The 24,863-nt window shown below is 37.9% G+C and overlaps 1 long non-coding RNA gene across 2 annotated transcripts; it reads right to left on the bottom strand.

Moving 5' to 3' along the window:
* Positions 1-12,199: 12,199 nt before the first annotated feature.
* Positions 12,200-24,795, bottom strand: LOC105373756 (uncharacterized). 2 transcript variants are annotated; one of them, XR_923603.3, is made up of 6 exons: positions 24,709-24,795; positions 17,700-17,814; positions 17,000-17,087; positions 16,383-16,478; positions 15,024-15,240; positions 12,200-12,333 (listed from the first exon to the last, which is right to left on the bottom strand). It is a non-coding gene; the product is annotated as an uncharacterized LOC105373756 (long non-coding RNA). The 2 variants fall into 2 exon arrangements; XR_923602.3 differs by lacking the exon at positions 24,709-24,795 and adding an exon at positions 24,608-24,697.
* Between the last annotated feature and the right edge of the window lie 68 nt (positions 24,796-24,863).

The following is a 24,863-nucleotide window of genomic DNA, read 5'->3' as shown; positions in this document are numbered from 1 at the left end:
TCTCCCAGTGAGTGTGTTATAAAACCTGAATAGAATGCATGGAGCAGTTATTTGAAGACCCTGCAAAGTGAATAGTAGTTGGTGAATCGGGAAAGAAAACCAGAATTTGAAGTGTCTCTGATCAGGCCATTGATTTTTTTCTCTCTGGCTTAAACTCAGTGCAACCCAAAACCCAGAAGTGGGTGCCATGGTGCAGAGAGAGCTTCAGGAGAAACCCTCTACTTCTGGACTGAGAAGCAGCAGAGGGAACTCCTAACACTCAGAGAGGGTGAGGAATATCACTCATTTTTCTTTTTCTTTTCTTTTTAAAATATTTTCTCCTTTCTCTTGCAGTCTTATCTTAAGCAATTCTGTGGTAATGGCATGGGTATGAAAGCCAAAATTTTCAGAGAGGTGAGCTTTCCTTTGATCTATAGAACTGTGGTCCTAAGAGAATTTGCCTGACAGTGCAAACTCCTGTTGCTATGCTAGATTGAAGTAACTGAAGCCTTAGCTTTTTGGCCAGAGGACTGAAGGTACTGGGAATTATTTTCCCAGGAGTTCCCAGTACCAGAAACTACTTAAAAGATTATGAAGAGGAAGGAGCTTTGGAAGTGACCCCTATAAAATTATTTATGAACTCCAGGGCTTACCCCTGAACTGTGCATGCATGGATCCGGTCCCAATCAGCACGTAGAATTCTCTGGGAAGTGAAGTAACAGATAGCCTGCTGCCCAGGTCCCAGACTGACCACCGGGTGGTGCATATGCAGGATGGATCTGAATATCATTGAAAAAGGCTTAAAAAACTGAAGAAACTCAAAACCATAGCCCACAGGAAATGAGTTAGAACTTGCAGCCTGAACTCAATGAGGCTGATTGCCAGGTAAAACAAAAACATCAACATTCTCCGTAGGATTTAAACCAGTCCCAGATTTTTATAAGACAATATTAAAAATGTCCAGATGCAATTCAAAATTACTTGGCATTTTGAGTGAAAAATGGAGACTTTTTTCACCTGAGAAAAAAACAATCAATGAAAGCCAATTCAAAGATGACACTGATGCTCTAATAATTGACAAAGACTTCAAAGCATCTATTATAAAAATCCTCCAACAAGTAACTCCAAACACTCTTGAAATGAATGGGAAAGTAGAAAGTCATAGCAAAGAAACAGAAGGTATAAAGACACATCAAGGGGACATTTTAGAATTGGGAAATACAATAACTGAAATAAACTCACTGGATGGACTGAATAGCAGAATGGAGACGACAGAGTAAGAAGTCAGTGAGCTTAATGATAGATCAATAGAAATTATCTGAGGTAAACAGGAAAGAAGGAGTAAAAAATATATTAGCAAAGAGTCTTCCAATTTCAGCTCCACATGTAAAGAGCTTGGAAGTTACCACTCCTGATCTTACAACAAGAAAAGCTAGATAAACTAAAAATTAATGACTTTTCTTGGACCCATCAGATAACTGAGTTTACAGGGGTAAACACAACCCTTAAGTCAGAGAGACAAGCACATTCAGAGAGACACAGCTGAGATCATCTTGCCTGGAGCAGAAGCCAGTGGAGTCATAGACTGGTGGGACCAATTAAATGGTAAATTTTACAAATTGCTGGAGATTGAGATTGTGGATAACTAAGAGAATGAGAAATTCCCAGTGACTGCAGTCTTTCCTGGGCCTTATCTCTAGGAACCTCACCAGGTACTCACAGCAAAGAGCCGACAAAGATCCCCTCATGGCTTTGGCAGGGGAGCGGAAGAATAATCATTGTGAAATACACTCAGAGCCTTCTCCATAACAAAGGGCTACATTCCAGGGGAAAGGACTTTTCCAGAGCCTTATTCCAGCTAGGGAAAAGAAATTCCTCTTATTCCAGCCCCCTCCAGTCGTCCTGTCTCAACTAAAGGAGAAATATCATAGTTAGCAGGGGTCAGGGCTTCAAGGAAACAAAGCAGGAATACTGCATCTAGGGAAGAATACTTCACAAAGAGAAAAACTTTGAAGATCACAATCATGAGACATAGATCCATAAATGATGGAGAGTTAATCAGAGGATTACAGAATGTCCTTCCCTTCCCACAGTTTACTATCACACCAACAGGGTACCAGTATAATAACAGTAGGTTACAACTGAAAGGATTGCTAGACACAGGTTCTTCTTAGCAGGAGTACTTAGGGGAGTCTAAAGTCAAGAGGTAACAAAACAATAACACTATGAAGGTTCTGGCACGTATAGCTAGAGAAAACATTAAACACAGCTCAACTCCATAGAGATTAATATAAATCCTTGCACTAAATTCTATTTATCTTAGTTCCTATTATTCCACACAATGTGTCTGCTTTCAATAACAAATTACAAACCATGACAAAAGGCAACAAAAAGTAGTCTGAAGAGATAAAGCAATCATCAGAATAAGACTCAAATATAACATAGATATCAGAATTATCAGACAGGGAATTGAAAGTAACTATGATTAAGATGTTAAGGGCTGTAATGAAAAAGGTAGACAATATGCAAGAACAAATGGGTAATGTAGCAGAAAAATAGAAACTCTAAGAAATAATTAAAAGAAAATGCTCTATATAAATGAAAAACATTGCAACAGAAATGAGGAAGTCTTAGGAGGCTCATCAATAGGCTTTACAAAGCTGAGGGAAGAGTCAGTAAACTTCCAATATTTAGAGCAATATAAACTTTCCAAAATAAAACACAAGGAGAAAAAGATGATAACGAATCAGAACAGAACATGAAAGAACATCCAAGAACTGTGGCAATATAGTATGCCAGAATGAGAAGAAATAGAGAACAGAGCAGAAGAAATATTTGAAGTAATAATGTCCCCAAACTTTCCAATACTAATGAGAAACATCAAAACACATATCTAGGAAGCTTAAAGAACATTGAGCAAGATAAATACCAACAAACCCACATCAAGGCTTATACTCACACTGCAGAAAATCAAAGACAAAATATTGAAAGAAGCCAGAGGGGGAAAAAAACACCCCACCTAAGGAGCAACAGGGGTAAGAATGACAGTGGACTTTTTATCAGAAATTACACAAGCAAGAAGAGAGTGAAGTAAAATATTTAAAGGGTTGAAAGACAAATACCACCAACCTAGAATTCTATACCCAACACAATTATCCTTCAAAGCCTTTCTCAGACAAACAAATAACAGAGAATTCATCACTAGCAGACTTGACCTGCAAAAATGTTGTGAGATGTTCCTCAGCAGATAATATATGTCAGAAGCTCATATCTACGGAAAGAAATAAAGAGTATTAGAGAAGCAATAAATGAAGGTAAATCATTTTTCTTGTTGAGTTAAAAGATAAGTGTTTAAATAAATGGTAATAACAATGTATTGAGTGATTACAGCACAAATGAATGAAATGAATAACAGCAATGTCACAAAGGATGAGAGGGAGGAATTGAGAATTATAAGGTGCCTACACTACACATGAAGTGCTATAGGGTTATTTGAAGGTAGTCTTACATTAGTTAAAGATATATATTGTAAACTCTAGGTAAACAACTAGCCTTCTAAAAAGTATAATTTATATGCTGAGAGGAGAGAAAATGAAATCATAACATGACCTGTTAAAATCAGAGAAGGTAGAAAGATGGAAAAACAAAGAATAAAAGCAATGGATAGGAAAGTTACAAATATGCAGATATTAATATAACTATATCAATTAGAACTTTAAAAATTAAAGTCAGGGACCTGTGGGGTAATAACAAAAGGGTTAACATTTGGTTTATCGTAGTCTCATGGAGTGTAGAAAAGGCATATTGCTAAAAAAATTATTTGAAGAAGTCCAGGTGTGGTGGCTCATGCCTGTAATTCCAGGGATTGAGGAGGCCCAGGTGGAAGGACTACTTGAGCCCAGGAGTTTGAGCCCAGCCTAGGAGGCATAGTGAGACCTGTCTCTTAAAACATTTTTTTTTTCAAAAATTAGTTGGCCATGGTGGCTTGCACCAGTAGTCCCAGCTTCTCAGGAGGCTGAGGTTGGAGAATGGCTTGGGCCCAGGAGTTCAAGGCTGCAGTGAGCTATGATTGTGTCACCATACTCTAGCCTGAGCAACAGAGCAAGACCCAGTCAAAAAAAATTTAAAGAAATAATGGCTGATAACTTTCCATATATATAAAAAAAACAAGAATGTACAGGTTCAGTAAGCTAAGGAAATCCCAAACAAGACAAATCCAAAGAAATCAATGTCTAGACACATCATAAACCACTGAAAACTAAAGACAAGGAAAAAATATTTCAAAGCAGCCAAAGAAAAATAATGCATTGTTTATGGAGAACAACAATTAGAATGACTGTGTATTTGTCATTAGAAATCATGAAGGCCAGGTGCCAAGAACATACAATAGGGAAAGAATAGTCTTGTCAATAACTGATGTTGGAAAAATCTGGATCTCTGCATGCAGAAGAAGAAAGTTAGATCCTTATCTTGCATTGTGTATGTATTAAGCCATTCTTGTGTTACAATAAAGAAATACCTGAGGCAGGGTAATTTATAAAGAAGAAGTTTAATTGGCTCACTGTTCTGCAGACTGTACCGGAGGCATAGTGCTGGCATAGACTTCTGGTGAAGGCCCCAGGAAGCTTACAGTCATGGTGGATTGCAAAAGGGGAACAGGCATCTCACATGGTAAGAGCAGGAGCAAGAGAGAGAGGGAAGGAAAATGTGCCACACATTTTTAAACAACCAGATCTCATGAGAAATCACTACCAAGGCGACAGCACTATACCATTCATGAGAGATATGCCACCAGGATGGAAACACTTACTACTAGGCCCCACCTCCAACAATGGGGATTGCATTTCAACATGAGATTTGAGGAAACAAATATCCAAACTATATTAGTGTATAAAAATCAACTCAACATAGATTAAAGACTTAAGCGTAAGACTTGAAACTGTAAAACTACTTAAAAGAAAACAGAGAAAGAAAGCTTCCAGACATTGGTCTGGACAATGATTTTTTGGCTATGGACCCTAAAACACTGGCAACAAAAGCAAAACTGGACAAATGTGATTGCATCAACCAAAAAACTTCTGCACAGCAAAGGAAACAACAGAGTGAAGAGACAACCTACAGAATGAGAGAAAATATTTGTAAACCATACATCTGATAAGGGGTAAATATCCAAAATAGATAAGGAACTCAAGCAACTCAATACCAAGAAAACAACTCAATTCAATAAATGGGCAAAGTATGGTAGGGTAACTATAAAATAGAGGATTTTGAATGTTCTCACCAGAAAAAAATGACAAGTGCTTGAGGTGATGGATATGCTTATTACCCTGATTGGTCATTATACAATGTATACATGTATCAGAACATCACACTGTACCCCATAAATATGCATAGTTATTATGTGTCAATTAAAACAAAATAAAACTTTAAAAAACTTGGCAAAGGGCCTGAATAGACATTTCTTAAAAGAAGACATACGGATGGCCAATAGGTATGTGAGAAATTCTCAACATCATTAATTATCAGGGAAACACAAGTTAAAACCACAATGAAGCCAGGCGTGGTGGTTCATGCTTCTAACCCCAGCACTTTGGGAGGCTGATGTGGGCAGACTGCTTGAGCCCAGGAGTTCAAGACCAGCCTGGGCAGCATGGTAAAACTTCATTTCTACAAAAAATAAAAATATTAGCTGGGCATGATGGTGCGTGCCTGTAGTCCCAGATTATGCCACCGCACTGCAGCCTGGGTGAGAGAGAGAAACCCTGTCTCAAAACAAACAAACAAAAAACAAAAACAAAGCAATCAAAAAAACCCACCATGAAATATCATCTCTACCTGTTAAAATGTGTATTATGAAAAAAACAAAAGATAGCAAGTGTTGGTAAGGATATGGAGAAAAGAGAATCCTTTTATGTTGCTAATTGAAATGCAAATTGGTACAGCCAATATGGAAAACAGTATGAAATTTCCTGAAAAAATTAAAAACAGAACTACCATATGATCCAACAATCTTACTTCTGGGAATATATCTAAAGGAAATGAAATCAGTATGTCAAAGAGATATCTATACTCCTATGTTCACTCCAGCATTATTCACAATAGCCAAGACATACAGTCAATCTAAATGTTCATCAACAGATGAATGGATAAAGAACATGTGGTAAAATACACAATGGAATATTTTTCAGCCTTAAGAAGGAAATCCTGTCATTTGTGACAACATGGATGAACCTGGAGGACATTATGCTAACTTAAATAAGCCAGACAAAGGAAGACAGACTTACATGATCTCACTTAAATGTTGCCTTAGTCCATTGTGTGCTGCTATAACAGAATACCTGAGGCTGGTAATTTATAATGAACAGAAATTTATTTGGCTCAAAGTCCTGGAGGCTGGGAATTCCAAGAGCATGTCACCAGCATCTTGTGAGGGCCTTCATGCTGCCTCATCCTGTGGTGAAAGGCAGAAATGCAAGAGATAGGGAGAGCAAGAGCAAGAAGTGGCTGAACTTGCTTTTACAAGCTCACTTTTGAGATAATGAACCTATTCCCATGATAATGACAATCCATTCATGAAGGCAGAGCCCTCATAACCTAATCACCTTTTATTAGGACCCATCTTCCAACACTGTGCATTGGGGATTAAATTTCCAACACATGAAATTTGGGCGACATGTTCAAACCGTAGCATCTATGAAATCTAAAAAAGTTGAATCCATAGAAACAGAGTAGAATGTTGTTTACCAGGGTCTAGGGAGTGGGGAAAGGGGAATAGGGACATATTGGTCAAAGGGTACAAAATTTCAGTTAAACAGGATAAATAATTTCCAGAGATCTATTATACAGCATGTGACTATAGTTAATAATAACATGTTGTATGCTTGAAAACTGCAAACAGGTTAGATATTAAATATTCTTACCTCCTCCCCCGACCCCTGGCCACAAACACAAAAGAAAAAAAGAAACCATGAAGGCTAGAAGGAAGTGACACATTTTTAAAGTGCTGAAAGTAGGGAAAGTCAACCCAGAATTATAGATCAAGTGAAAATATCTTTTATGAATGAAGGTGAAATAAAGATATTCCCCCCACCCCACTCACTAGCCCCTGGTAACAAACATCCTACTCTGTTTCTATAAATTAAACTTTTTTAGATTCCATAGATGCTATGGTTTGAAAATGTCCCCCAGATTTCTTTGTCAGATAAAGAAAAACTAAGAAATTCATTGCTAGGAGATCTACTCTAAAAAAATTGCCAAAAGACAGAAGGGATACGATGTTGAAGAACACATAGAATGTTAGGAATGAAGAAAGAGCAGTAGAAATGATAAATATCTGGGTAAATATAAAAGCCCATTCTTTTCCCGTAAGTTGTTTAAAATGTTTTTAATCATTGAAAGCAAAAATTATGGCTTTATCTGACATCTATCAAGTATATACCTGCAATATGTAAGACAAGCGTGACATAAAGAAGAGAGGATGAAAAGTCCTAGGTAGTGGTAAATTTCTGCACTCAAGAAGTGGTAAAACACTAATTCTAAGTAGACTGTGAAAAGTTAGATATGTATATTGTATTCCCTAGAGACAGTGCTAAAAAATTATAAAAAGAAACATAGTTTTAAAAAAATCCAACAAATAAAATGGAATACTGAAAACTGTTCACATAATCCAAGCCAGGAATTGGAAAACAGAGGAACAAAAACCAAACAGAAAACAAATAAAAATTTGTAGACTTAAATCCAAGCATGCCAATGATATCAATAAATGAAAATGGCCAAAACACATTAATACAAAGACAAATGATCAGAATGCATAAAAAGACATGACCTAACTATAAGCTATTTATAAGAAACTCTCTTCATGTGTAGTGATATTAGTAGATAACAAGTAAAAGGATGGAAAAAGATATATCATGCAAATACCAGTAAAAAGAAATTAGGTTCTTTAGAAAGGTCAGTAAATTACTACACCTTCAGAAAGACTACCAAAGAAAAAAGAGAACACACAGAATTACCAGTAGCAGGAATGAAAGATGGAATATAACTACAGACCCCGTAGACCTTAAAAGGATGATAAGGAGGCTACAAATAACTCTACATGCATGGAATCATCAACTTATATGAAATGGATCAATTCTTAAAAACCACAGACTAGCATAGCTCATCCAAGATAAAATAGACATTCTGAGTAGTCCTATAACTATGAAAACAATTGAATTTATAGTAAAACACAACCTTCCAAAAAAAGAAATATCCAGGCTCAGATGGTTTCACAGGTTAATTCTACCAAATATTTAAAAAACAGATAAAACCAATTCTATACAATGAATTCCAGAAAATAGAAAAGAGGGAAGCCCTTTCCAGCTTATTTTACTAGATCAGCACTACCATGATGCCAAAATCCAGCAAATACAGTCCAAGAAACCCCCACTACACATTATTATTCTTCATGAACGTAGACACAAAACACTCAAATATGAAAACAAATCCAACAATATGTAAAAAGGATAATAAGCCATCTAGAGATGTAAAGCAGTTGAATATTCAGAAATCAATCAATATAATCTACCATATGAAGAGTCTAAATAAGAAGCACCATATATTCATATAAATTGATGTAGAAAAAGTATGTGACAAAATTCAATATGCATTCATGATGAAAACTCTCAGCAGACTAGAAATAGAAACTTCCTGAAACTGATAAAGGGCATCTACAAAAACCCTACATCTAACATATTTAATTATGAAAAATGAAGGCTTCCTCACTAAGACTGGAAAAAAGGGAAGGATGTTTATTCAGCCACTCCTATTAAACACTAAACCGGAAGTCCCAACTAGTGAGATAAAGCAAGAAAATAAGAAGGCATGTGGACTGGAAAGGAAGAAATAAAACTGCTTCTATTCGAGGTCAACATAATTGTTTATATAGAAAATCCCAAGAAACCTACAAAGGTCTCCTAGAACTAGGTAAGTTTAGCATGCAAAGTGAGTTTAAGATACAAGGCCAATATATAAAAACCAATTGTATTTTTATATATTAGCAATGAGCAATTAGAAATAAAAGTTAAAAAATGCCATTTATAACAGCACAAAATGCTGTAAATATAGCAAAATATGTATAATATCTGTATGATGAAAACTTAAAAATGCTGATGACAAAAGTAAAAGGAGACCTAAATAAATGGAGAAACATATCATGCTCAGGGATTAGAAGAATGAACACAGTAAACATGCTGATTCTCCTCAAGTTGATCTAGAGATTTAATGCAATTCTAATAAACATTTTATCAAGAAATCTTATATTTATCAATACTTAATTTAAAAGTTTATATGGAAAGGCAAAGGAACTAAGAAAGCAAAAATGATTTAGAACATATGCAATGGCTCTTTAGTAAATGGTACTAGGAGAATCGGATATCCACAGACAAAAGAATGAAATTGCATGGTTATCTTACATCACACACAATAATCCACTCAAAAAGGATTAAAGACATTAAACACAAGACCCTAATTAAGTGTAAGACCATTAAAATTCTGGAAGAAAACATAGGGAAAAAGCTCCTTGACATGGGTCTTGACAATGGTCTTTTGAATGTGATACCCAAAGCACAAGCAACAAAAGCAAAAATAACGTGAAACTACATCAAACTAGAAAGTTTCTGCAGAACAAAAGAAACAACAGAGTCAAGAGACAACCTACAGAATGGGAGAAAATATTTGCAAACCATATGTCTGATGGGGGCTAATATCCAAAACATACAAGGGACTCAATACAATTCAATGGCAAACAATCTGAGTAAAAATGAGCAAAAAGAGACATTTTTCCAAAGAAGACATACGAATGCCAAACAGGTATATGAAAAATTGCTCAACATCACTAATCATCATGCAAATCAAAACCTAATGGCTATCACCTCACACTTGTTAGAATGGCTATTACTGAAAAGTAAAAAAATAACAAGTATCAGCAAGGTTGTGGAGAAAAGGGAGACCTTGTACACTGTTGGTGGGAATATAAATTAGTACTGTTTTTAAGGAAAACAGTGTGGAGGCTCCTCAAAAAACTAAAAATAGAGCTACCATATGATCCGGCAATCTCACTTCTGGGTATATATCCCAAGGAAAAGAAATCAGTGTGACAAGGAGACATTCTTGTGTTCATTGCAGCATTATTTACAATAGCTGAGATATGGAATCAATGCAAATGTCCACTGATGGATGAATGGATAAAGAAAATGTAATGTACATATAATATATACAATGAAATACTTTTCAGCCTTAAAATAGAAGGAAATCCTACCATTTGCGGCAACGTGTGTGAACCTGTTGGACATTCACTTATTACGTGAAATAAGCCAGACACAGAACAAATACTACAAAATCTTACTGGTATGTGGAATTAAAAAAATTCAAACTCATAGAAATAGTAGAATGGTGGTTGGCAGGGGTTGGAGGTGGATGTGGATCAAAAATAAAATGTATTAGATAAATAAGTTCTGGGAATCTAATGTACAACATGTGGTAACTCCAGTCAATAATAATGTATTGTCTACAGTACTTGAAGTTTGTTAAGAGAACAGATATTAAGTGTTCTTGTCAAAAAAAAAAAAAAAGGAAATATGTGAGGTGATGGGTAGGGTAATCAGCTTGATTGGTGGAAAAAAGAAAATAATACTATTCGAGGAATTCCACAATTCAATTTTAAGAATTACTATAAAGCTACAGTAACTAAGACAGTGTGGGATTGATGACAGGATAGACACCTAGATCAATGGAATGGAATAGCTAGGGCAGAAATAGAGCCATTCAAACATGAACAACTGATTTTTGACAAATTGAAAGGCAATTCAACGGGAAAAGGATAGTCTTTTCAACAAATGATGATGAAACAATTGGACATCCAAAAGCCCAGAAAAGAACCTGAATGTAACCCTACACATTTTCCAAAAAATTAACACAAATGAATTATAGATCTAAATATAAAACATAAAGTTATAAAGCTTTCAGAAAAAAAACAGAGGAGAAAACATTTGTTACCTAGTGTTAAGTAAATACACCCAGTAGAATAGCTAAAATTTTTTAAAAATTCTGACAGTAACAAGTACGGGCAAAGATATAGAGTAACTGTAACTCTCATACACTGCTGGTGGGAATTCAAAATGTACTCTGGAGAAAAGTTTAGCAGTTTCTTACAAAGTTTATGCATTTAGCATGTAACCCAGCAATCCCACTCCTGGGTATTTACTCTAGATAAATATAAAAACCAACTCCATTTTATAATGCCCCACACTGGAAACAACCCAAATAGCCCTCAAATGGGATATGGGTAAACAGTGGCACAATCACATAATGTAACAATACCCAGCACTATAAATGAATGAATGATCGATACATGCAATAAGGTGAATCTCAAAGGCAGTATGCTGAATGAAAGAAGTCAGTCTCAAAAACTATGTGTTGTATAATTCCATTTATACAACATTCTCAAAAAAATAAAAAATATAGTGATGGAGAGAAAAAGCAAATCCAAAGTTTGCCAAGAGTTAAGGGTGAGGGTAAAATAGCATGGGGAAGTTTTTGCGATAACAGAACTGTTCTCTATTCTGATTGCGGTGGTGGCAACACAAATATTTACATTTATTAAAATTTATAACTGTACACCAAACAGGTCAATCTTACTGCATGATTATTTAAGAAATAACCATTTAAAAGAAGCATCCAGAGCGAGGTTTGTCTGACGCTAGAGTTCACATTCTTTACAAAATACTTGATGCTGCCTTACAAATCTTCAAATAGACATTCATGAATACATGTGTTTATTATAAAGATCGAATAAATGAGACAATGACATGTGAGCCATTGAAAATGGGAATATTTATATATTTATATAATAACTAATTATCGTATTTAGATCAGAAGTCTGGGTAAATGGAGCTGTACTTCATCTGGGCTTTGTTCAGCACTTAGTGTCCAGTTGATTTCAGATGTATCTTGAATCTGTCTTTTCCCTAACTTCTGTCCAGGTCAAGCCACTTTCTTCCTCTTACCTGAAATGTTTCAGAAATTCTGCCAACCAGTCTCCAGTCCTCCAGGTCCATCTTCTTCAAACCCATCCTCCACAGAGCTGCCAGGGAGATCCTTATAAACCTGACCTTGCCATGTTCTTGCTTGTTAAATAAGCTCCTTCATGGGGGCATACAGTGTTTTATTATCTGGTTTCACCCTGTCTCTGGCAACATCTCCCCATTCATAGCACAGGTGTCCCAGCCATTTGAGCAACTTCCACCCTCTGCACCCCTTTTTATTCTTCTTTGCTTACTTCAGCTCATCTTTCAAGATCCAGCTTTCTGAAGTCTTCTGTGAAATAAGAAGAAATGTATATTGGTCTCTGCCCCCAGATCCTGACATGGAGCTCCTAAAACCCTTGTATGTAGGGGTACCAGGAGAATCTTTTGTTCCTAAATAGCCTTAGGATGGGCAAGGGAAGGATTAGCTTCCAGGGGGACAAACCATGTGATTCGAGGGCTGAAACTTTCAGCCCCATCCCCTGGCCTCCAGGAAGCAGAGAGGGTCTGAAGGTTGAGCTGATCACTAATGACCAATGATGCAATCAATTGTGGTCCCTGGAGGGTGGTGCACCTGGAGAGGGCATGAAAGCTCCATGTCTCTTCCCACATACCTTGCCCTTTGCATATCTTCTATGTGGCTGTTCTTCTGTATTCTTTGCAATATTCTTTATAATAAACTAGTAAACATAAGTGTGTCCCCAAGTACTGTGAGCCATCCTAGCAAATTAATTGAACCCAAGGAGGGGGTCATGGGAACTCTGATATGTAAGTGGATGGGTCAGAAGTCTAGGTGACAACCTACTACTTGTGACTAGCATCTGAAGTGGGGGCAGTCTTGTGAGACTGAGCCCCTAACTGTGCGATATGATGCTACCTCTAGGTAAGTCGTGGCAGAATTGAATTGAGTTATAGAACACCTAGTTAATGTTCCCTGGAGAAGTGCTTGGTCAGTGGGGGAGAAAAAAAACACATACATTTTGGTGATCAGAGGTGAAGCGTTTTGTGTTGTGTTGACTGTGTGAAAAAAAAAAAAAAGGTAAGGTTTATCTCTGACACCTTCGGTGATTCCAGGCTGGACTATATGTGCCATCCCCAAGGTTGCAGAACAGCCCATGTTTGCTTCTGCCATGACCCTTGCTGCAGTGTTTTGGGACTGTCTATTCTCCCATCCATCCTCATTAGACTGTGGGGCCTCTAGAGCAGGGGCTGCAATTTAATCCCATATCCCTACTCCCAGCATATGGTAGGAACTCAATACACATTTATTTAATAAATTTAAACTAAAACCATCTGAAATCCTTTTTGGAAGGAGACAATGTAAACAAACAAATACAAGCTACACATTGATGCTTCATATGGACTGATAATGATTTGGGGGGAATAGCCATAAATACAGTATGATGAAAATAACTGTTTCCTTTTGCGTAGAAGAGTAGGAAAAAGCTGCTTGAATCATGATAAATTGAGGGAAAACGAGGAATTGAGGAGATGGCAGCAGCTGGAATTTGGAGTCTCCTTCCTCAATGAAGAGCAGAAGTGGAGGGGAAGAGAAGGATTGTGTACCTGCCCATTGGGATTTCAAACGGGTCTCTCCCTTTGTGAGTGCTGCAGTCAGCTTGGGTGTTGTCAGCCCACTGTAGAAACCCCATACCTATGGAAATGGATAACCTGTGACTTCCTCAAAGATATTCATGCTAAGAGGAAGTTTAAAAGTGAATCATCTTTCTTTAGTCATGATTTCTTTACATGATAATGCTGGTGCCAGTCTGGAAGCATAAAGAGTGCTGGGTTCATGTGTGATGGGGGGCAATGTACATACATTCTTCAGCTGTTTGCTCTATGAGTGTGCCTTTCTTTAAGTGGACAGACTGCTTCGTTTAAAACATTTTTTATTCTGATTCTGAGCCCATGCTTATACATTTAATTTTTGATTTACATGCAGGAATATTCATTATTTGGTCTACTATTCTTTAAGTTTTGACAAATGCATAGAGTCGTCTAAGTACTACCCAAATCAAATGGCCAGAAGATTCCATTACTGCCCCAAAATTACCTTGTGCTAACCCTTTGTAATCAATCCCTTCCCCACTCTCAACCTCTTGTGGCCTTGATCTGATCTTTGTCCACGTAGTTTTGCCCTCCTAGAATATTATATATGTAGCCTTTGAAACTGGCTTCTTCTATCCTGCCTAAAGCATTTGAGATTCATCTATGTTGTTGCCTGTAACAATACTGTTACGGGGTGAATTGTGCCCTCCCCACAAAATTCCTGTTGAAGTCCTAACCCCTAGTACCTCAGAACGTGACTGTATTTGGAGATACAGTCTTTAAAGAAGTAATTGAGCTAAAATCAGGTAATTAGGGGACCCTAAGCCAATGTGACTGGTGTCTTTACAAGGAGAGAAAACCTGGATTCAGACAAGCACGGTGTAAAGACCACATGAAAACACGGAGAAGGCATCCATCTACAAACCAAAGAGACAGGGGTCAGAAGAAGTCAACCCTGCCGTCACCTTGATCTCAGACACCCAGCCTCCACAACGGTGAGGTGATAAATTTCTGTTGCTTAAGTCATCCAGACTGTGGTACTTTGTTATGTTAACAAACTACAAATAGTTTGAGGCTTTTATTGCTGAGTAGTTTTATGGATCCATTTTACAGACTTACCAGTTTGTTTAATCTCTTTCCCAGTTGAGGGATATTTGGGTTATTTCCAGTTTTTAGCAATTATGAATAAAGTTGCTATAAGCAGTCATAAGTTTTTGTGTGAACATAGGTTTCCATTTCATGTGGGTAAATACAAAGGAGTAGGATTGTTAGGTTGTAAGAAACTGCCAAAAACTGTTTTCAAAGTAACTATCATTTTGCATTTCCACAGTAATATATGAGGGTCTACTTGTTCTATATCCTGTTTAGCACTCTGTGTTTTCAGGTTTTTAAAAATTTTAGCCATTCTAATAGGTATATGTTGGTACTCACTGTGGTTTTAATTTGCATTTTCCCACTGACTATGTTCAGCCTCTTCTCATATGCTTATTTACTATCCAAATATCTTCTTTAATAAAGCATCCATTTAAATCTTTTGACCAGTTTTAAACTGAATTACTGGTTTTCTTATTGTTGAGTTCTGAGAGTTCTTTATACATTCTAGATATATGTAGTTTTCTTCACAATCATGTAATTTTTCTTCTTTAGTCTGTTAATGCAATGAATTACATTAATTGATTTGTGAATGTTGAACCAGTGTAGCATTTCCAAGATAAGCCATGTTTTTTTGTGATGTATTCTTTTTATATAATGCTGGATTAGATTTTCTAATGTTTTGTTGAGGGTTTTTGTGTCCATGATCATGAAGGTTATTGGACAGATCATTTGTTTAAAAATAGTATTCTAAAATATGTTCTTTAAGGTTATTTTCATCATTCCTATTTTATGGATGACAAATTGAGGTTAAAGAAGTTAAATAATTTCACCAGAGCTGGTAAGTGGTAGAGCTGGGACTTGAACCTAGGTAATCAGACACAAGCCTGTGCCCTTAACCACTAAAACCTACTTTCTCTGGAAGACTCAAGGTGGAACTGATGTCCAGTGGTGAATTCCTCAGAAGCAGTAACAACGATGATAGATTAGCACAAAAGGAAGGTATTGTTGGATTATAGAGCATGGGATCTGGCATCAAAATACCTGGGTTCAAATCTCAGATCTGCTACTTACTAGTTAAATGAGCTTGAGAAACCTTTAAGTGCTTTAGGGTCCCCTTTTACAAAATAGAAATAATAATAATAATAGGTTGGTGCAAAAGTAATTGCAGTTTGCCATTGAAAGTAATGGCAAAAACCCCAATTACTTTTGCACCAACCTAATGCATAATTTGATTGTTGTAAGGGTTGAGATAAGATATCTAGTTATGATTGTGGTACTGATTAATACATATTGCAAGAGCTTGATGATACTTAATTTAATGGGATACATTCATCATAAATAAATCTTTGTTTACTAATTGACTCTATGGCTATGTACTGAACCCAAGCCTGGATAGTTAACTTTGTGTATTCTAGTTATTGCATTTCAAACCCTTATAATGATACCTCACAAATGGCTGCAGCAGGTAGGCAAGATAGAATAGTCAAGGATAATTTGAAAAATAAGTGACAGCATACTCTCTTGAAGGTCTCCTATCAGTCTTATACATAAAGGACAGTAATTTAGGAAAGCCTATCTCAGATGTTAGCTGGAGTCTTCCTATTCCTCAAGATTGACTCGAACCCCTAATTCCAAAGCATTTCCCAAGTTCTGTGAATCCCTGAGGGGGAAACGAAGGCAGGGGAGAGGATTTACATTCTCACGGCCATCTCTGGCTGCCCTCTCCTGAGTCCATGCGCTGAATCTTTTAGGGAGTTTCTGCCTGCGTCACATCAAGACCTTCCTTGACTTCTACCAAAAGAAAAGAAATCCAAGACATATGTTCAGTACACATTACTTGAGACTTTTGGGGACACAGGAGGGGTTTACATCACAGCAAAGTGAATAACCTTAAGTAGAATTTATTCATCTCCTCAAGAGTTACTCTATCCCCCCCACATCATATCACTACAAGGGATTTTTTTCACCAGTTACTTTCACTGAGTGTCCTCTCATGCCATGTTTCTGTCCTGTTTGTCCTCCTTTTGTTTTCCTGTCCTCTGTTCTCTCTCCCTCCCTGGGAAGAGCAATTTCACTCTCTTTAGCCACCTTAGCTCCTGCTAACCCTGGGTCCTCGTGTTTCACTATCTCCTCTCAAAGCTTATCAAGGTCTTTTCCTAACAAAAATAATTTACTCTCTGAGAGGCATTTTGGTGCTAGCTGTTAAGACACAATTTTACTCACCATCTCAAAACATGATATAATTATAAAATGCTTTGAGATCTTTGTACATCTCTGATAAAAAAATTCATTTTGACTGATTGCATACATACCTCATAGGGTGCACACTTACTTAAACTGCCACACAAAATTCTGCACTATTGTAAATGCTTTATAAAGATTTCACTGACCAGATAATCCCTGGAAGAGTGAAGGGGAAAATATGAAAATTTAATCCATTATCTGGAAAACCAGAAAGAGAAAAAATGTATCTTTTAAATCAGAGGGTAGCTCCTAGTGAAGAATTGTACATAGCATGTTGAGGCATCTCAACCAGTTTTACAGTTTGTGAGAGGGGAAGAGAGACTATTAGATACAAGCCTCAAATCTGCACTGTGATGGTGCTTAAGGTCTTTTGGGAATGGGGCCTTTATAGATGTTGGTGGAGGTCTCTGTGAACACCGTTATTTGGTCATTTCTTCTTGGTGACCTGAACTCTTTTGCTCCTCTTTCTTCCTCTGTGTCTTCTAAGTGCCCTCCATTTGAAAATAGGTCAACAGCTTGTTTAGAAAGCCAGAGAGAAGAGAAACAGAAGTATGGGTGGAGACAGGAAACAGCTGTTTCTAAGATGAGAGCTCCCAAGAAGGACAAGTTGACATTGGACAAGAGAAGATGTGTATGTTTTGTTCAGGGGACAGAAGGAAGAGGGAGTGAATAATGGCTGGAAAGATGATGATGTGGCTCAGGTTGACCTCCTTTACTGCATAAAGGAAGAAAGAAAGAAAGGGTTTTTTTAATTTCTGAAGATGATACCTTTTGGAAATGAAAAGACAAAGAATGCTGGATCATCAGGGTTCTTCCTTCTGTGTCCAAACAGCTCTTAGGTCCATGTTTCTGTCTTCTCTCTTTCTTTTATCGCTCTTCGGCACTGTTAACAAAGTCTGTTTTCATTGAAAGGCAGGGCCTGGCTGCTTTAAAGGCACCTGGGCCTTTATTCATGGCCCTAGGACAATCATGTAGCTAGGGAGGAAAGGGAGTGATGGCAGCACAGGCCTGGCCCGTGTAGGTGGCCCAAGGCATCCTCCATCTCCCCTGTGAAGGGCCTAACCCTGCGCCCTAGAGCAGCTCACCAATATCCCACCCCAAGTCTCAGACATAATTATAGAGAGGCTGCTTTTGCCTTAACAGACACAGTGTACAATTGACCCTCGAATAATGTGGGAATTGGGGTGCTGACCCCTGGTATAGTAAAAAATCCATATATAACTTTTGACTCCCCCCAAGGTCAACTACTAATAGCCTAATAGCTTTATTTTATTTGGGTCAGCATACAAAGTTTTGCAGAGGAAAATGCCACATTTTCGTGTATGTACTTTCATGTGGGTGTACTAGATCATAGGAATTCGAGATCACTAAACCTGTACTAAATGGCAATTCTTCCCTGCAATACCTAAGTGTTCTTGTTCAATAGCAAACCAAATACTGAACATGCCCGGTCCTGCCTAGCTGGGAATTGTGAGGGTCCAGAGTGAGAGAAGACCACTCTGCTTGAACATCTTATTGTATCCTGCTTACATTTCTTTCCTCCTTCTATAACATGTCATTGTACAAACTGCATGAAAAACTGTTTTCATATCTTTCCAGGAGCAGTATAATTTTTAGCATCTTTGGTGACTTACTCCCAGGGTGGTAATGCTAAAGAGAGCTGTTTAGATAACCTCTTCAATTTACAATTCAGGAAACAGACACCTCCATGTTTACATTGAAAAAATTAGGGCCTGCCATTTAAGAATCCAAGTGGTTTATTACCTGCTTCTCTCTGGCTGCCTTGATTTCCCCTTCAAATTCCACTATGGCCCTATCAGAGCAAACACCCTTAGTGCTGTCTCTAATTATTTTGAATAATTCATGTTGTATGCTTTCACATCATTCTGTCAGATATGCTTGGAGGGTCATTTCTGGCTAATTCCAGGCTGCCTGTCCATTCACATATTTGGTCAGTTCTTTTCAGCTTCCCGAATTCCCTTTCCTTTTATTTTTTAATAGATATAGGTCATCTTTGATTTCAGAATTCCTTTAAAAGTCTATAACATGTAAGCTGAAGAAACCTTGAGAACATAGAGCCCAGAAAGACTGTCCAGTGTGAAGCCCAGAGTAACAGCTCATTTTCAACAGGGAACTAGACAAAATTTGCAATGTTGGTATAATAACAGTAACAGCTAACTTCAGCCAAACTCACTAACTCCAAAGGTGTAACCAATTCATAAAAGAGCTATTACTGTTCAGGCCCTAGAGACATTCAAGTGGCTCAGCTGGCTATGGAGGAAAAGGTTCAGCTCCGTTTTCTTCCTTTTGTGGTTATTGATATAGCTCAGTTCAATACTGCACTGAAGGAAGGTTGAACAGCAAAGACTAAAGTGAAACCTTGTGAAGTGTTTGCTGAGGGATCTTGAATTTCTAGATGCGTGCCAACCACAGAAGGCAATTATATTAAATGATACAATGAAAACAAATTTCGAACCTTGGGATTCTTTGGACATAACAGAGTCACTTGGAGCAGACTTTATTTAGAAATGGGATTACCAAATTGTTCCTTATAAGATTAGAAGTAGCAAAGGCCTACACAACTATTTTTTCTAGTAGTTTTTATCGTTATCTGGCTTATGATCTTTTTTGAGAATCTCATAAAAGCTATAAAGCTGAACCCAGAAAAATATGTATATGTGCAGACACAATATTTGGCCCATAATTTCAGGGAACTCACGGGTATCATCAAGCCCATTAGCGGATCCTACAGGGGATTGAGAAAACCCAGATTTAAGAGCCCCTAGTTTGGTCCAACAGCAGAGGTGGCAACTGAAACTCAAAAGTGTAAGCGAGTCATTCAGCTTCATCATTTTCTTTCTGTTCTCCCCTTTCTTTCTTTGTTACTTGTACTTATCATTTTTTCTTTAATGTTAAGTTGATATGTGTGCACAAAATTTATTCTTTTACTGCAAATCTCTTCCCAAATGATGGGTGATGGAAGGTCTGCTCACTGTCTCTCTCTGCCTCATTTAATTGATGTGGCACCATAAACTCCATCAAAGGGCCAATATAATTGAGCTTTATTACAATGGAAGTCTGCCACCGTGTTAAAAATTACCAAGATGTCTGCAGATACTATAGTCAGGAAAAACCACAAAAGGTCCTGGGAGTTTGTGGGGCAAAGGTTAAGCCAAGATCTACTCTGTTCCCTTAATGGGTAGCTATAATCTATTAGTACTTATGCCAAGTTCACTCTGATTAGTGTGGCCCTTGATTTAGAAGCTATTGGCACACCTAACCCCTTATTACTACAACACCCTTTTATAAACACTTAATGTTGGGAAATTATACATTTTGACCAAAAAGCTTCTTTGTCCTTCTCCCACCCAGCCATGAGCAGCAATATAAATAGCACTTTGGCAGTCTCCTGATGTTAACGCCAGACAGCTTGGGAAACAATGTCTACACGAGCATTTTAGATGCTGCAAGAAAGAAGCTTTCAGAATCCTGTGCTTTACTCCTTTTGCCCTTTAGAATAATAGTGTGTCCTTGCAATCTTGATCTGTACAAAATCTCTTTCTTTCTCTTCCTTCCTTTCTTTTTTTTTTTTTTTTGATGGAGTGTTGCTCTGTTGCCCAGGTTGGAGTGCAGTGGTGCGATCTCAGATCACTGCAACCTCTGCCTCCCAGGTTCAAGTGATTTTCCTGCCTCAGCCTCCTGAGTAGTTGGGACTACAGGCGCCCACCACCACACCTGGCTAATTTTGTAGAGATGGGGTTTCACCATGTTGGCCAGGATGGTCTCGAACTCCTGACCTCATGATCCACCTGCCTTGGCCTCCCAAAGTGCTAGGATTACAGGCATGAGCCACAGCACCTGGCCAAATATTTTTTTTTTCTAATCAATCATCTTATAATTTACACCAGATTCTCTCATGTCACTTGAGACGTAGATGCTATCCTACCCAATAGGCTTTGCTCTGCTTATGGCTTTATTTATTTATTTATTTTTGTCATTTTATGCTATGTCCTCTTAAAAAATCTTGCTACAAAAGTGGGTAGCGTGTTCTTTGTGTCTTGGTAAAATGCTTCTAAATAAATAATGATTGTTCTGACTCACCTTTTTTTGGCCCTAAATTGATATTTGAAAAAAGAGCAGGGAGAGGGTTAAAGTCTCATGAGATATGCATATATAATAACCTGATGAAGAAATTCTAACTTGAGGATGGCATAATGGCTGTGCTTTGACAGAAAAACAACCATCTTCAAAGTTTTCTACTTTAAAACATAATACAAATAAAAAGCAACCACTTAAGGAGGCCGGTAAGTAAGTTGCCATTCATGAGCAATATTTGCAAAATGATAGAATTCAAGGACTACCTTCTGTGGAAAAGCTTCTAACCCTTTAAATCACCATCCTAGTGTTATTACCTGGATCACCTCCGGGGGTCAGGTACACACCTGTGATCTGCTGGTAATTCAGCAAAGGAAGCAGCACTCCCTACGTCCTGCTTGTTGATTTTAGGTGGTTCTGGTATAGTAAAACATGCACAAAACTTTGGATGTGCAAAGACGATATGGTGGTAAGTTAAGGTTACTGCTCTGCACCTAACACTCAGCCCACAAAGCTAACAGCAGGAAGTGCTTGGTGGTTTAGCACCTCAATATGGTGCACTTAAAAGATGCAAGGCTAGTCTGGGAGACAATAGATACTAGAAGTACTTGGAAGGCAATTCAGCAATTCAGCTTAAAAATGAGAGTAAATGATGCATGTTGGGAAGAGCAAAAAATGGTAGCTGTTTTGTTTAAACTAAGTGTTTAAGCCACGACATGGCCATTGGAATAATAATCTCCTGGAAAGCAATATTTAAATGTATCCATCATCATTTAGGTTTTAGACACACAGTTAAATATTATTGATCATTTGCAATTGTGTGCATCCATGTGTACATATATTAAACTGAAAAGTAACAGTAGCATGTAAAGTGTAGAAGATGAAGTGTAAAAATAGTACTTGAGTTTCTAATTACCAGTTTTTAATTAAGAAAGCCACAAGCAAATTATAAACATCCAGTTTATAGCATTGCAATCTTAGAGGCTTACACTCATGAATATGGTAATTTTTTATTTTATGCCCTCTTGAGATGTCTTGTTAAAAACATTTTATTGGGGATCCTAAAATTCAGTAAATTTGAAGCCCTTGGCACCTTGTAGATAGTTAAAGTTCTTCAAAAAAATGTCAGCAATAAATATTTGGCAAATATAAAGAATATGCACATTTTCCCAAGTGGGTGATTTTTTTTTTTTGCACTTCTTATATTCAAGTGATGACACTGCAGTTCAGAATGTGAATGCATATTGATATTTTCTTCCAGAAACTGCATGGGTTGCTGGGAGAATACTGTTCCCAAAGAGTTATTTTTATGCGGGCACCTGGAAGTGGTGGCATACTTGCTCTGGCTTGCAGAGCTGTTTTGGACCATCAGGTGTATATATGAGCAAGTGGTCTTTATTTAGAGCAATTAAAATTCTAACATTCTCCTCTCTTGACATGCAATTACTAGGGCTCTGCTGTTTCCACTAATTGCTCTTGCTGGGGACATTGGTGAGAAGCCAATGATTTTGATGGGTAGCGGATTATCATTTTTACTTTGCTACCTGAGAAAAAAATCATTTGCAAAATCCCATGTGTAATTAGCAAGACTCATGATTAATTGTCCTGCAAAATTAGCTTCACTGTTGCTTTTATTTTAGTGCTTCAAATATTAATTAATGTTAACTCCTTTCCTTCAGTTCCAGCTTTTGAATATTCAACATGGCTTTGAAAAATTATCAAGGTTTCTACTCGCATTAGCATGCTAGAGCTTTGATTTCAGAAATAAGTATTCTGATTTAAAAGAGCACACTTGGGTCATAAATAATTTTTATAGGAGGACAAACAAAGCATCAGAGAATCATGGGAAGGCATTCATGCACTAACTGAAAGTAAATTGTTTCAATAATGATTCATTCTCACATGCTTTGGGGGGAAAACATCAGCAAATATGCACACCACTGCATTGTGTGGGGGGTAAAAACTATTCCCCAATGACAAGCAATCTACACAGGCATTTTTCAACCTGTAAATTTGTGGTAGGTGAGGCCCAGAGCCTTGGTAAGAAATCACAGACTCTCTAACAGAATCACAGAGGTCATCCTGTCCAAATATTCCTTGTCCTGGTGAGCTCTAGAATCACTGTCAGTTTTGTGAAACTTACAGATTCCTTAAGTCTCACTCCAGACCTAATGAATCTTACCATATGGCATTGGACCTGACAAAATGTATTTTCTTTTCAAAGTTCCCCAGGAGATCGTGGTGAATGTCTACATTTGGAAAGCATTGATCTAGTTGAACCACCTAGATATCTGAATTCCCTCTATCACGTCTGGGCCAAGTGATGCTTGAACACTTCCCGTCTTGGAGAGCTTACTTTGTTACCCTTGAAAATAGCTTTCACCTGCATTTTGTCTTGAATGTTTATTCCTTCTGTTATGACAACGGCAGGTGGTTCATTTAGTGGTGCAAAACTGTAAATGCCTACTGCCTGTGTTTTAAGGGCAGCTCTCCATCAAATGCATGGGAATTAGACTAATGGTGTCTACCACACTAGGGTCAGAGTTACATGTATCTGGACTCCTGGGAAAGAAACTGGTGCTTTTCCTTTCCTAGTCAAAACCCCACTGCTGTGTACCTCCTGATGCAGATGGGGTGCTGTGGTCCAGAGGACCCTGGCATTTGACGGCCAATATGGGTGTGAGCCCAGCTGCACCCTTCCACCTCCAGCCCACTCTGGCTGTTCAGCTGCCCAACTCTGAAGCAATGGCTCTTGCAGATTGGCTGGGGAAAGGGATTAGGCACCCCCAATTATGAGATTTTGTCTTCCCTGAGATCTCTTTTGGCATAAGAGTCTCTTCCCAAAAGCCTAGGGTCAAGGAGCCACAGGGGATGGACTCTGCTTTGTATCTTCCTTCCCTGGCTTCAGGGAACCTGCAAGTGTCAGCATTCAAGATCTGCTGCTCCTCCTGGCATGGAGCAGTGTTTGCCCTGGACATAGGGTCCAGATCAGATTATTCCCAGCAGGTAGCAGAGTTGGAGCAGCCTTGAGGATAGGAATGGGCTGTTCAGAGTGTTGTTCTCAGAGAGCTTCCCTGGCAAGCTGATGCCTAGACAGCTTAGCAAGGATCCTGTGGAAATTGCTACTTTCATCTGCTGTGTGACCCTGTGGAAGTTACTTAACCTCTCAATGTTCAGCTTCCTCATCTGCAAATGGGGATAAGAAAGGCATCTGCTTCACAGGGTTCCAATGAGGGTTTAATGGGTTAAGACCTATTATTTATTTAGGGAAGCCTATGCAAATAATTGCTGAACAAATAAAATGAAATGCTACCATGACACCTGTTTAATGGAAACACACATTCTGAAACCCCAAATACTACTTCCTAATGAATTTCAGGAATACAACTTATAAAGAAATTGTTAACTGGATGCAGGACCTAACAAAATCCAGTCCTTGCTCTATTCTAAGGTGGCAGAATTTCACATTTAGATTCATTCTTTAACCTGGTAAATTTCCAAGGTTATAGGTAGGAATCATATCTGGGTTTAGAAAACTACACATTCCTTTTTAGCCAAAGTGGTTCAAAAGCCATCTTTACCCTTCTAAAGCTTCCCTTATGAAGTGAAGATGGGCTCTATGTGTTTGTCCTGAGAACCATATTGTCACTGTTAATAAGGTTCTAATTTCCTGCACACTCACTCCACATCACGGTAATTAATTGTCCCTTGACTGGGAAGCTGAATGAAGTCAAGACTTGTCAGAATCTCTCATGGCTGTGTTCCCAGCATCTCCACGTTGGAGTCAGGACAGGTTTGTTGAAGAGCTAAGAGAGTGTGGAGGTGAGGCAGGGCAAG

The sequence above is a fragment of the Homo sapiens genome, chromosome 2, assembly GCF_000001405.40.
Source record: "Homo sapiens chromosome 2, GRCh38.p14 Primary Assembly".
NCBI lineage: Eukaryota > Metazoa > Chordata > Mammalia > Primates > Hominidae > Homo > Homo sapiens.
This window is presented reverse-complemented; position numbering and strand designations above follow the sequence as displayed.